Source organism: Homo sapiens, chromosome 20 (assembly GCF_000001405.40).
Source record: "Homo sapiens chromosome 20, GRCh38.p14 Primary Assembly".
Taxonomy (NCBI): Eukaryota; Metazoa; Chordata; class Mammalia; order Primates; family Hominidae; genus Homo; species Homo sapiens.
The window spans coordinates 62079794-62094105 of record NC_000020.11 but is presented as its reverse complement, the minus strand read 5'-3'; the positions used below and the strand labels follow the sequence as shown (position 1 = coordinate 62094105).

Genomic DNA, 14312 nt, shown 5'->3' with positions numbered 1-14312 from the left:
GGTCGGGTTCTTGTGGGGGCCCTCTTCCAGCTTGCACCCTTCTCGGCATCTCAGTGTACCCGCACGTGGTAGAGAGCAGAGAGACTTGCTCTCTGGAGACTCTCATAGGGCGCTAGTCCCTCTTGGCGTCAGCTGATAATAATCACCTCTCAAAGGCCCCACCTCCAGATGCCATCACACTGGAGATCAGACTTCAACATATGAACTGTGGGGACACACAAACATTCCATCCCAACCTCTTCAAATGTATCTGTTCTTCCCATGTAAAATGCATTCATTCCATCCCAACAGCTTTGCATGCCTTAGGCTTGCTGCAGCTTCTACTCTGAAGGTGTGAGCTCCAAGTCTTATCTAAATACCATCTAAATCCGATCCAGGTGAGACTCAGGGAACAATTCTTACAAGGCAAAATTCCCCTCCAGCCTCAAGGCCTTTTAGCCAAACAAGTTATGTGCTTCCAGAATACAATGATCGGGGCTGGGCCTGGTGGCTCACACCTGTAATCCCAGCACTTTGGGAGGCCAAGGTGGGCAGATCACTTGAGGTCAGGAGTTTGAGACCAGCCTGGCCAACATGGCGGAACCCCGTCTCTACTAAAATCACAAAAATTAGCTGGGCATAGTGGCGGGTGCCTATAATCCCAGCTACTGGGGAGGCTGAGGTGGGATAGTTGCTTGAACCCAGGAGGTGGAAGTTGCAGTGAGCCAAGATCATGCACTGCACTTCATCCTGGGCAACAGAGCAAGACTCTGTTTTGAAAGCAGACAAACAAACAAAAATGGTGGGATAGGCATAGGATAGACATTTCCATCCTAAAAGGGAGAAATAGGGAAGAAGGAAGCGGTGGATCCAAGCAAGTTGAAACTTGGACTTGGAAAACTCCAAGGAAAACTCCAAGCCAAAATAGTATTCTTTGGCTCCATGCTCTTCCTGCCAGGTGCACCGGGGCGGCAACCCCACCCACCAGCTCTGCCAGGCAGGGGTCCCACCCCCAGGGCTCTGCTGGGCAGGGGCAGGCCCCCATGGCTTCGGGCAAAGGTCATCTGGTCTGCCGAAAGTGAGGTGAGACCCCCCCTTTTGAAACCTGGGAGGCAGCCGTGATGAGCTCGGATTCACCTATGGGGTCATTCTTCCACTGTCTTGAAGAATGGAGCATGTTCACACAGAGCAGCTCTATGGTCCTGACCCGTTAAATCCAAGAAGTCCAATTCCTTCATTCCTTCATTCCTTCCCGTCTCCTTCCCCTTCAGTTTAAGCTGCAGTATTCCCACCGGGTGGCTGACAGTCTGAGGTTCCCACCCACACGAATCTCCTTATCCACTGGTTGATGACTACACCCTTAGTCTTCTTTGTCAACTATGCTTTCTCATTTGTTGCAATACGGACGGATAAGCTGACCATTTTCCACATCTTTTTTTTTTTTTTTTTTTTTTGTGAGACGGAGTCTCGCTCTGTCACCCAGGCTGGAGTGCAGTGACACGATCTCTGGTCACTGCAAACTCTGCCTCCCGGGTTCACAACATTCTCCCACCTCAGCCTCCCGAGTAGCTGGGATTACAGCCGTGAGCCACCACGCCCAGCTAATTTTTTGTATTTTTAGTAGAGATGAGGTTTCACCATGTTGGCCAGGATGGTCTCAATCTCCTGACCTTGTGATCCGCCCGCCTCGGCCTCCCAAAGTGCTGGGATTACAGACGTGAGCCACCGCGCCCGGCCCATTTTCCACATCTTTAAGTTCTAGTTACTTTTTGCTTAGCAATTCCCTCATCAGTCATTTCTCTCTTCTTACGTTTTGCTATAAGCAGTCAGGAGGAACCCAGCCAGTCCTTTCACACTGCTTAGCAATCTCCTCAACTCAAATCGAATTTCATCACTGGCAAGTTCTCTACCTTTCCCGTAACACTAGAACATGAGCGTGATTCAGCCACGTTCTCTGCCTCTTTATAATAAGGATCATCTTTTCTCCATTGTCCAGTAACATGTTCCTCATTTCCGTCTGAGACCGCATGAGAATGACCCGACTGTGCACGTTTCTCCCAACAATCTGGTCATTGATTGCATATTCGCTAAGAAGACAGAGGCTTTCGCTCTGGCGTCCTCTTTGTTTTCTGAGCCCTCACCAGAATCACCATTAAAATCCCTTCATGACAATCTCGGCTTCTTCAAGCATGCACTTCACAAGTCTTCCAGCCTCTACACCGCTACCCAGTTCCAATGCTGCTTCCGCATTTTTAGGTATTTGTCACAGTGGCACCCCACTTCTTGGTACCACCTTCTGTGTTAATCAGGGTTTTCCAGCGAAATGGTGCCAATAGGAGGTATATACATATACAATCATGTGTCACTTAATGATGGGGCTATGTCCTGAGACACTTAATGATGGGGCTATGTCCTGAGAAATGTATTGTTAGGCAACTTTGTCCTTATGCAAACATCATGGAGTGTGCTGACACGAACCTGCACGGTACAACCTACTACCCACATAGGCTGTATGGTAGAGCCTGTTGCTCCTAGTCTATCAGCCTGTAGAGCCAGCATGCTACTGCAGTGAGCACTCCAGGCAAGTGCCGCAGCTCAACTGCTTGTCCCCTCCAAACCCACATACAAGCTTGATCCCAGGGTGGTAATATTGGGGGTGTGGCCTTTAAAAGGTGATTGAGTCATGGGGGCTGTGCCCTCGGAATGGATTAATTCATTCATGAATTAATTAATGAGTTAGTGGATTACTGGATTATCACAAGAATGGGACTGGCGGCTTAGCAATAAGAAAAGACCTGAGCTAGCAGGCTCAGGCCCTTCACCGTGTGATGCCGGCACCACCTCAGGACTTTGCAGGTTCCCCACCAGCAAGAGGGCCCTCACCAGATGCATCCCCTCCACGTAGAACTTCCAACCTCCAGAACTGTAGGAAATAAATTTCTTTTCTTTATAAACCAGTTTCAGCTGGGCACAGTGGCTCACGCTTGTAATCCCAGCACTTTGGGAGGTCAAGGCGGGCGGATCACGAGGTCAGGAGTTCAAGACCAGCCTGGCTAACGCAGTGAAACCCGCCCCCCTCATCTGTACTAAAAACACAAAAATTCCATGGGCATTTTGGCGGGTGCCTGTAATCCCAGCTATTCGGGAGGCTGGAGCAGGAGAATCGCTTGAACCTGGGAGGCAGAGGTTGCAGTGAGCTGAGATTGTGCCACCGCACTACAGCCTGGGCGACAGAGCTAAACTCTGTCTCAAAAAAAAAAAAAAATACCCAGTTTCAGGTATTCTGTTATAAGCAACAGAAAATGGACTAAGACAGCAATATGTATTTCTGTATTTAGACATATCTAGACAGAAAAGTTACAGTTGGCTGGACATGGTGGCTCACACCTGTAATCTCAGCATTTTGGGAGGCCGAGGTGGGTGGATCACCTGAGGTCAGGAGTTCAAGACAAGTGTGGCCAAATGGTGAAACCCCGTCTCTACTAAAAATACAAAAATTAGCCAGGCGTGGTGGTGAGCACCTGTAATCCCAGCTACTTAGGAGGCTGAGGAGGGAGAATCGCCTGAACCTGGGAGGGGGAGGTTGCAGTGAGCCATGATCACGCCATTGCACTCCAGACTGGGCGACAGAGCGAGGCTCCGTCTCAAAAGAAAAGAAAAGAAAAGAAAAGAAAAATTAAAGTAAAAATGTGATACAAAGATAAAAAGGGCACCTGTGTAGGGCACTTACCATGGATAGAGCTTGCAGGACTGGCCGTTGCTGTGTGTGAGTCAGTGAGTGAATGTGAAGACCTAGGACATTGCTATAACTACTGTTGGCTTTATAACACCATACACTTAGGCTACACTACATTTATAAAAAATAGGTTTTTTTTTTTTGGCCAGGTGCAGTGGTTCACGTCTGTAATCCCAGCACTTTGGGAGGCCAAGGAAGGAGGACCACCTGAGCTCAGGAATTTGAGACCAGCCTGGGCAACATAGCGAAACCTCATCTCTACTAAAAATAATAATAATAAAAAATATCAGCTGGGCATGGTGGTACATGCCTATAGTCCCAGCTGCTTGGGAGGCTGAGGTGGGAGAATTACTTGAGCCCAGGAGTTTGAGGCTGCAGTGAGCTAAGATAGTGCTGCTGGACTCCAGCCTGGGTGACAGAGTGAGATGCCATCTCCAAAAATATATATAATGTGTATACATATATATGTGTATATATATTCTTTCCTCAATAATAAATTAACCTTAGCTTACTACGACTTTTTTACTTTATAAGCTTTTAAAAACTTTTTGATTTTTTTTGTATTAACAGCTAAAAACACGAACACATTGTGCAGGAAAATATAAAGAAAATATTTTTCTTTATATTTTTATTTTATAAGCTCTTTCTAATTTTTAAAATCTTTTATTTTATTTTATTTTTACTTTTAAAACTTGCTTGTTTAAAAGTGAGACACAAGCACACACGTCAGCCTAGACCTACACAGGGTCAGGGTTGTCCCTGGCACTGTCCTCCACCTCCACACCCTGCCCCACTTGGAGGTCCTTAGGAGGAGCCATCCTCTCCCGTGATAACAGTGCCTTCTTCTGGATACCTCCTGAAGGGCCTGCCTCACTGCTTTACAGTTAATTTTTTTTTTAATAAGTAGAAGGAGTACACTCTAAAATAACAATAAAGGCTGGGCGCAGTGGCTCAAACCTATAATCCCAGCACTTTAGGAGGATGAGGTGGGAGGATTGCTCGAGCCCAGGAGTTTGAGATCAGCCTGGGCAACATAGTGAAACCCTGTCTCTACAAGACAGAAAAAAAAAATTAGCCAGGCATGGTGGCACGTACCTGTAGTCCCAGCTACCTGGGAGGCAGAGGTGGAAGGATCTCTTGAGCCCAGGAGTTTGAGGCTGCAGTGAGCTGTGATCAGACCACTGCACTCCACCCTAGGTGACAGAGCAAGACCCTGTCTCAAAAATAAAATAAAATAGGCTGGCGCAGTAGCTCACACCTATAATCCCAGCACTCTGGAAAGCTGAGGCAGGTGGATCACTTGAGGTCAGGAGGTTGAGGCTAGCCTGGCCAACGTGGTGAAACCCTGTCTCTATTAAAAATACAAAAATTAGCCAGGCATGGTGGTGCGGACCTGTAATCCCAGCTACTCAGAAGGCTGAGGCAGGAGAATGGCTTGAACTCAGGAGACAGAGGTTTCAGTGAGCCAAGATCGCGCCACTTCACTCCAGCCTGGGCAACAGAGTGAGACCCTGTTTCCAAAAAATAAATAAATAAAATAAAATAAAAATTATAGCATAGTAAACGTATAAACCAGTAACATAGACGTTTATTATCATAACCAAGAATTATGTGCTGTGCATAATTATATGTGCTAGACTTCTACGTGAGGGCAACACAGGTTTGTTTACAGCCAGGTCACCACAAACATGAGTCAGTAGGTTTGTTTACAGCCACGTCACTACAAGCATGAGTCATGCATTGCCCTAGGACGGCTATGATGTCACTTGGAGAAAGGAATTTCTCAGCTCCACTGTTATCTTATGGGACAACCATTATATATGCAGTCCGTTGTTGCCCCTAACGTCATTATGTGGTGTATGACTGTATCTGTGTGTGTGTGTGTGTGTGTGTGTGAACACACATGTACATATAGCTCACATATACAGTCACAGTCATACACACAGGAGGATGTGTGAGTATGTGTGCAACTGAGTATACAGGAGTGCGGGTGAATGTACAAGAGCACATGTGAGTGCATGCAGGTGAGTGTACAGGAGCGTGTGTGAATGCGTGTGCAGGTGAGTGTACAGGAGTGCATGTGAGTGTGTGTGCTGATGAGTGTACAAGAGCGTGTGTGAGTGCATGCAGGTGAGTGTACAGGAGTGTGTGTGTATGTGCAGGTGAGTGTACAGGAGCATGTGTGTGTGCAGGTGAGTGTACAGGAGCGTGTGTGAGTGCATGTATACGTTAGTGTACAGGAGTGCATGTGAGTGTGTGTAGGTGAGTGTACAGGAGCGCGTGTGTGTGCATGCAGGTGAGTGTACAGGAGCGCGTGTGGGTGCGTCTGCAGGTGAGTGTACGGGAGTGCATGTGAGTGAGTGCAGGTGAGCGTACAGGAGCGCATGTGTGTGCATGCAGGTGAGTGTACAGGAGCACGTGTGCGTGCGTGTGCAGGTGAGTGTGCAGGTGAGTGTACAGGAGTACATGTGAGTGCATGCAGGTGAGTGTACAGGAGCGTGTGTGGGTGAGTCTGCAGTGAGTGTACAAGAGCTTGTGTGAGTGCGTGTGCAGGTGAGTGTACAAGAGCTTGTGTGAGTGCGTGTGCAGGTGAGTGTATAGGAGCGCGTGTGAGTGCATGCAGGTGAGTGTACAGAGCATGTGTGGGTAAGCGTGCAGGTGAGTGTACAGGAGTGCGTGTGAGTGCGTGTGCAGGTGGGTGTACAGGAGCGTGTGCGTGTGCAGGTGAGCGTATAGGAGCATGTGTGAGTGCGTGTGCAGGTGAGTGTACAGGAACATGTGGGAGTGCGTGTGTAGATGAGTATGAGAGTGAGTGCTTGGGAGCAGAAGTGTGTGTGAGTGTGTTTTGCATCTCCCCTCTTGCCTTTCGTGGGGCTGGGGCAAACCAGCAGGGCAAGCTGGGCAAGAGCAGCTTGTCCCGGTGCGGTAAGCCAGGCTCCGCCCCTGGTCTCAGCAGGGTTGGATGGTTCTCAGATGTTTGCCGCAGCCTGAGTTGCAATGGACACAGCTGTTGCGTTGTTCGTTCGGGTCTGTTTCCTTTGCAGCCTGTGGGCTCCCCACCCAATGTAACATCCTCAGTCGTTCTTTAAAGACCCCCAAATTCTTGGAAGGGATGTGGCTGCTGCCCTCATCCCGACCTTGGCTGGGCTGGGGTCCCAAGGACTGTGTCTCTCCTTCCTTCTTGAGGCAAGAACTGGCTGCTGTGCCTACCCAGGTTTTACTGCCTTCAGGAGCTATGAGCCTCCGCTCCCTACTGGATGGGCCGGTGGTCTCAGAGACCCCTAAAACACTTTTCTGCGGGAACCTGAGGGGTTCCCTTTCCAAGGCGCTCTGTGCCTAGCAGTGATTAATACTGAGCTTTCTTCGTAAATCCCAACGGCTAGAAGTGGAGACAGAGGTGTTGTTGTTAGAGAGTGAGGGGTGCCTGCTACCTACTGACACACAACCACTCACCCCCAAACTTAGCAGGTAAGACAGCAACCATTTTATCCTCTCTGTTTCTGTGGATCAGGGATCCGGGCAGGGCACCATGAGGATGGTTGATTTCTGCTCCCTGGAAGCCTGTCCAGCCTCTGTGAAACCCCAGGCCCCCGCCTCTGTGTGACCCCAGTCTCTCTGTGTGCCCAGCTTCCATGTCACCCTCGAGGGATCCCATGGGTGGAGAGAAGTCCACCTCCTCCGTCCTAACAGGCAGAAAGAAGGCAAGGACAGACCAGATGCAGATCCACTCATCATGGTGGGAGCAGAGGGCCAGGGTGTTTGACAACCTCTCCCTTCTCAGATGAGTGGGGACCAAGGTGGAGGGTCAGGAGAGAGGGTTTTGCGGTGGTGTGGGAAGTTGGAGGAGTGTGGACAGTTTGAAATGCAGCAGTCGCTTGATCTTAAGACACAGAGTCTTTCTGCCATCAGTGTTCAAACTTCATTAACAGCATTTCTTTTTCATTTTCTGGGTTTTTTGTTGTTATTGTTGTTCTTTTTTTTGAGACAGAGTCTTGCTCTGTTGCCCAGGCTGGAGTGCAATGGTGCGATCTTGGCTCACTGCAACCTCTGCCCACTGCAACCTCCGCCTCTTGGGTTCAAGCAATTCTCCTGCCTCAGCCTCCTGAGTAGCTGGGATTACAAGTATGCGCCACCATGCCCAGCTAATTTTTTGTATTTTTAGTGGAGATGGGGTTTCACCATGTTGGCCAGCCTGGTCTCAAACTCCTGACCTCAGGTGACCCACCCTCCTTGGCCTCCCAAAGTGCTGGAATTACAGGCGTGAGCCACCGCACCTGGTCTGGCTTTTTATTTTACATAATTTTGATGACATAAATCACACAAGACCATCTTCTCCTGGTAAAACATCAAAATATCATGCAAAATGCGAACTTCCTGGCGGCCACTCCTCCTCGTCCAAAGACTCCTTCACAGGGAACCAAGCTGTTTAAACGAGGTTTTAAAAACATCATTGAAAAAGTAACATGGCTGGGTGCGGTGGCTCACGCCTGTAATCCCAGCACATTGGGAGGCCGAGGCGGGTGGATCACGAGGTCAGGAGATCGAGACCATCCTGGCTAACACGATGAAACCCCATCTCTACTGAAAATACAAAGAATTAGCTGGGCGTGGTGGCGGGCGCCTGTAGTCCCAGCTACTCGGGAGGCTGAGGCAGGAGAATGGCGTGAACCCAGAAGACGGAGCTTGCAGTGAGCCCAGATCGCGCCACTGCACTCCAGCTTGGGTGACAGAGCGAGACTCCATTTCAAAAAAAAAAAAAAAGTAACGTGCATAGGTAGAAGAAAAACATCCAACCGTCCAGAGGAGAACTGGCAGGGAGTGCGACTCCTCTTCAGCCTGGCTCTACCCCTGCGTGTCTCTCTGTGCAGTTCCTCAGTCACCCTCAGTCCAGGCTTCCTCCTCCCCTGTGAACTAGCACACATCTCTAGAGACCCTGAGAATTCTGCAGGCTGACTCAAGTCCAACACAGGGGCGCTGGCAGGCCTCCCAGACTCAGCCCCTCCAAGTCACCAGGCCCCATCCGCATCTGCTGACCCCGCCTTGAAATCCTCCGTGACATTTGAACAAGGAGCCTTCAGCGTGACCTGGGGCTGCTGTGACAAATCACCACAAGCTGGTGGCTTAAAACAGCAGACCTTCATCTCTCACGGTTCTGGAGGCTGGAAGTCCAAAATCAGGGTGTCAGCTCCTTCTGGAGGCTCCGAGGAGAATCTGGCCCAGGCTCTCCTAGCTTCTGGTGCCTTTGGCAACCCTGGGCGCTCCTTGGCTGGGGGCAGCAGCACCTGCCCCTGCCTCTGTCTGTAAGATGCTCCTGCTGTGTATTTCTGTGTCAAATCTCCCCCGGCCTCCTCTTAGAAGAACTCCAGCCACTGGATTTAGGGCCCACTCTAGTCCGGGATGATCTTATCTCAACATCCTTAATTACGTCTAGAGACCCTATTTCCAAATAAGGCCACATTCGCAGGAACCGTGCTGTCAGGACTTGGAGACACCTATATCTATATCAATATCTTTATCTATATCAATACCTATATCTATGTCAATATCTTTATCTATATCTTTGTCAATATCTTTATCTATAGATAGACAATCTTGAAAAACTGCAACTTTATGTCCATTAAAAAACAGCTCCCCACTTTTCCCTCTCCCCAATCCCTGGTAACCGCATTCTACTTTCTGTTTCTGTAAATTTGAACACTTTAATTTTTTAATGTTTATTATTTTATTTGAGACAGGGTCTCACGCTGTCACCCAGGCTGGAGTGCAGTGGTGCGATCTCAACTCACTGCAGCCTCGACCTCCCTGGGCTCAAGTGATTCTCCTGCCTCATCCTCCCGAGTAGCTGGGACCACAGGCAGGTGCCACCACGCCTGGCTAATTTTTGTATTTTTTGTAGAGATGGGGTTTCACCATGTTGCCCATGGCAGGTCTCCAACTCCTGGGCTCAAGGGATCCTCCCACTTCAGCCTCCCAAAGTGCTGGGATTACAGGAGTGAGTCACCGCGCCCGGCCTTGTCAAATTGACTACCTTAGATTTTTCTCATTTAAGTGGCATCACGCAGCATTTGTCTTTTTAGGACTTGCTTATTTCGCTTAGCACTTATTTATTTTCTGATTTTTTTTTATTATGGTAAAATACATGTGACATAAAATGTGTCATCTTAACCATGTTTGCAAAGATTTTATTTTTTATTGACAAATAATTGTATATATTTATGGGGTACAAAGTGATGTTTTCAGACATGTATACATGGCGGATGATCAAATCGGGCTAATTCATACATCTATCACCTCACAAACTTATCCTGTCTCTGTGGTGAGAAAATGGCAAACCCACTTTTTGGCAGTTTGGGAATCTGTAATGCGTTATTTCTCACTCGAGTCGCCCTGCTGTCCATCCGGCAGAGACTTCTTGTCCTTTGAGTGAGGTTTCCCTTTCCCGCCTGCCCTTGGGTGCCCACCATTCTCCTCTCTGCTTCCAGGAGTGCTTCAGCCAGGGTTCTCCAGAGAGACAGAGCCATGGAGAGGTGAGGGGTTTGATAGGGGACTTGTCTCCTAGAGGTCAAGGAGTCTGCAAGCCGGAGAACCGGGGAGCCTGGCGGCGGGCTCAGTCCAAGCCCGGAGGCCTTGGAACTTGGAACCTCAGATTGCAGTCACCAATCTGAGGCCAAAGACCCAGGAGCCCTGTGAGGCCCCACTGCAAGTCCCAGATCCCAAAGCCAAACGACCTGGAGTCTGATGTCCAAGGGCAGGCAGAGGAAAGGTGTCCCAATCCGGAAGCAGGAGAGAGGGAGAGAGAGGGAGAGAGAGAGAGAGAGAGAGAAGGAGAAAGAGGAGGGGAGAGAGGGAAGGAAAGAAAAAGAAGGGGAGAGAGGGAGGGAGAGAAGAAGAAGGGGAGAGAGAAAGAGAGGCAGAGAGACGGAGAGAAAGAGAGAGGGAGAGAGAAAGAGGTGCACTCCAGCCTGGGCAACAGAGTGAGACTCTGTCTCTGAAACAAAATTAAAAGATGAAAAGCCTCTAGAGATGGATGATGGTGAGGCAGCGATACCATTATGAATGTACTTAATGCTACTCGTACACTGAAATTGGGTAAGACGGATGCCCGAATGCCTGTTAGAAAGGCTACTGTCAAAAAGGTGAAAGGTAAGTGCTGGCCAGACGTGGTAACCTGTTCATCTAACAGCATTAGATGGGTGTTGTATTAGTTCATGCTCACATTTCTATAAGAAAATACCCAAAACTGGGTAATTTATTTTATTTTATTATTTTTTGAGATGGAATCTGACTCTTGTTGCCCAAGCTGGAGTGCAGTGGCACGATCTTGGCTCACTGCAACCTTTGCCTCCCAGGTTCAAGTGATTCTCCTGCCTCAGCCTCCTGAGTAGCTGGGATTACAGGCATGTGCCATCACGCCTGGCTGATTTTTCTATTTTAGTAGAGACGGGGTTTCACCATGTTAGCCAAGCTGGTCTCAAACTCCTGACCTCAGTTGATCCACCTGCCTCCGCCTCCCAAAGTGCTGGGATGACAGGCATGAGCCACCTCGCCAGGCCAACAGGGTAATTTATAAAGGAAAGAGGTTGAATTGACTCACAGTTGAGCATGGCTGGAGAGGCCTCAGGAAACTTACAATCATGGTAGAAGGCAAAGGAGAAGCAGGCACCTTCTTCACAGGGCAGCAGGACGACGGAGTGAGTGCAGCAGGGGAAATGCCAGATGCTTATAAAACCATCAGATCTCGTGGGATTCACTCGTTGTAGCAAGAACAGCAGGGGGGAACCACCCCCGTGATCCAGTTACCTCCACCTGGTCCCACTCTTGATATGTGGAGATTATGGGAATTATGGGGATTACAACTCAACATGAGATTTTGGGTGGGGACACAGCCAGACCATATCAGGTATGTTTGGTTTGAGAGAATGTGTTGATGTATGTCACTTGTCGGAATATGTCACACTTGAATGAAAGACAGTGAGGGAATGTCCAGCTCTTCTGAGCAGACTCAGCTTTCTGAGCTGGAAAACCTAAAACAAAACCCTTATTTTGTTTGAGAAGGAAACCAGAGTCCAGAGCTGGCAAGTGACCTGCCTAAGGCCACCAGGAAATGGTAGAATGTGGACCAAAACCCACGTTTCCTGAATTCCCAGATCAGCAGTCTCTCATCAACATTTTTAAAAATTGTAGTTAAGAATAAAGACAAAATTTACCATCATAACCAGTTTCAAGTGTAAGTTGGGGAACAGTGAGCATATTCACGTTGCTGTGCAACAGATCCCCAGGACTTGTTCATCTTGAAACACTGAAACTCTACACCCATTCAAAGCTCTCCATTTCACCCTCCCTGCCTTGCCTGGTAACCACCATTCTACTGTCTGTTTCCGTCAATTTGAGTGCTTTCGATAACTCATGTAAGTGGACTCACAGCATTCGCCTTTTTGTGCCCGGCTTATTTCACAGCATAGCAGCCTCACGGTTGATCCTTGCTGAAGGGTGTGTCCGAATTTCCTTCCTTTTCAGGGCTTAATAATATTCCACTGCACATTTTCCTTCTCCATTTCATCTATAGTTGGACCGTTGGGTTGCTTCCACCTCTTGGCTATCGTAAATAATGCTGCTATGAGGCCAGGCACGGTGGCTCATGCCTGTAATCCCAACACTTTGGGAGGCCAAGGCAGGCGAATCACGAGGTCAGGAGTTCGAGACCAGCCTGACCAACATGGTGGAACCCTGTCTCTACCGAAAATACAAAAATTAGCCGGGCGTGTGGTACACGCTTGTAATCCCAGCTACTCAGGAGGCTGAGGCAGGAGAATCACTTAAACCTGGGAGGCGGAGGTTGCAGTGAGTCGAGTTCATGCTGCTGCACTCCAGCCTGGGTGACAGAGCAAGACTCCATCTCAAAAAAAATAATAATAAAGCTGCTATGAACATGAGCGTGAAAATATCTCTTCGAGATGCTGCTTTCACTTCTTTTGGATATAATCCAAAAGTGGCCTCATCGACATTCTTTTTTTTTTTTTTTTTTTTTTCAGATGGAGTCTTGCTCTGTCTCCCAGGCTGGAGTGCAGTGGTGCAATCTCACTGCAAGCTCCGCCTCCCGGCTTCACACCATTCTCCTGCCTCAGCCTCCCGAGTAGCTGGGACTATGGGCGCCCGCCACCACATCCGGCTAACTATTTTTTGTATTTTTAGTAGAGACGGGGTTTCATCATGTTAGCCAGGATTTTCTCGATCTCCTGACCCTGTGATCTGCCTGCCTCGGCCTCCCTAAGTGCTGGGATTACAGGCATGAGCCACCGCACCTGGCCAACATTCATAAGTTATTTAAGACTTGTAGGTTTTACTACCTCAAGCAAACTGTGAGGCTCTAGAGTCAGACATTGACTATCTAGGTGGGTACTGCTAAGTGTTTAATAACTGTCTCCCTAAGGAAAAAAAGCCCCGAAGCATAGTGTCTGCCAATGCCCCCCGAGGCATAGCGTCTGCCAACGTCCTTGGTGGAAATGCCCCCACCCTGGCTGGTTTCAAGCTGTCAGTGTGATGTCACTGAACATGGCGTTGGGAAGAGACACAACAGCTGGTTCTTGCGAGCTGGATGTGGTGTATGTGGCACTCAAGTTACCCATTTTTCCTTAACACTTGCCCCAGTGTGAAGGCACACATGTCATTGTGGACAGGGATGACTCTTCTCCCATAGACACAGGAGGACTTGGCAGTAGATGTGAGCCAGGAGCAGTTCCAGAATTTGCAGAGGCTGGTGCAAAATGAAAATGTGGTGCTCTGGGGAAGGTTGAATAGTGTCACTGGAAAAGATATGTTCAGGGAGAGAGAATGAGGAGTTAGTGTTTAATGGGTGTAGAGTTTCAATCCTGCAAGACACAAAGAGTTCTTGGCATACACTTGCGGTCCCAACTACTCGGGAAGCTGAGGGGAGAGGATCACTTGAGCCCAGGAGGTTGAAGCCGCAGTGAGTGAGCTCTCTCACGTATCAAGAGTGGGACCAGGTGGAGGTAATTGGATCATGGGGGTGGTTCCCCCCTGCTGTTCTTGCGACAACGAGTGAATCTCACGAGATCTGATGGTTTTATAAGCATCTGGCATTTCCCCTGCTGCACTCACTCCGTCGTCCTGCTGCCCTGTGAAGAAGGTGCCTGCTTCTCCTTTGCCTTCTACCATGATTGTAAGTTTCCTGAGGCCTCTCCAGCCATGCTCAACTGTGAGTCAATTCAACCTCTTTCCTTTATAAATTACCCTGTTGGCCCGGCGAGGTGGCTCATGCCTGTCATCCCAGCACTTTGGGAGGCGGAGGCAGGTGGATCAACTGAGGTCAGGAGTTTGAGACCAGCTTGGCTAACATGGTGAAACCCCGTCTCTACTAAAATAGAAAAATCAGCCAGGCGTGATGGCACATGCCTGTAATCCCAGCTACTCAGGAGGCTGAGGCAGGAGAATCACTTGAACCTGGGAGGCAAAGGTTGCAGTGAGCCAAGATCGTGCCACTGCACTCCAGCTTGGGCAACAAGAGTCAGATTCCATCTCAAAAAATAATAAAATAAAATAAATTACCCAGTTTTGGGTATTTTCTTATAGAAATGTG

At 48.8% G+C, this 14312-nt stretch overlaps 2 annotated features.

The window, feature by feature from the left end:
- Nucleotides 5771–6326: an enhancer, noted in NCBI's record as "H3K4me1 hESC enhancer chr20:60662836-60663391 (GRCh37/hg19 assembly coordinates)". NCBI's record gives its function as "activates a minimal SCP1, AML or CMV promoter by ChIP-STARR-seq in naive and primed H9 embryonic stem cells {active_cell/tissue: H9 hESC(naive and primed)}" and the evidence as "EXISTENCE:reporter gene assay evidence [ECO:0000049][PMID:30033119]".
- Nucleotides 6327–6883: an enhancer, noted in NCBI's record as "H3K4me1 hESC enhancer chr20:60662279-60662835 (GRCh37/hg19 assembly coordinates)". NCBI's record gives its function as "activates a minimal SCP1, AML or CMV promoter by ChIP-STARR-seq in primed H9 embryonic stem cells {active_cell/tissue: H9 hESC(primed)}" and the evidence as "EXISTENCE:reporter gene assay evidence [ECO:0000049][PMID:30033119]".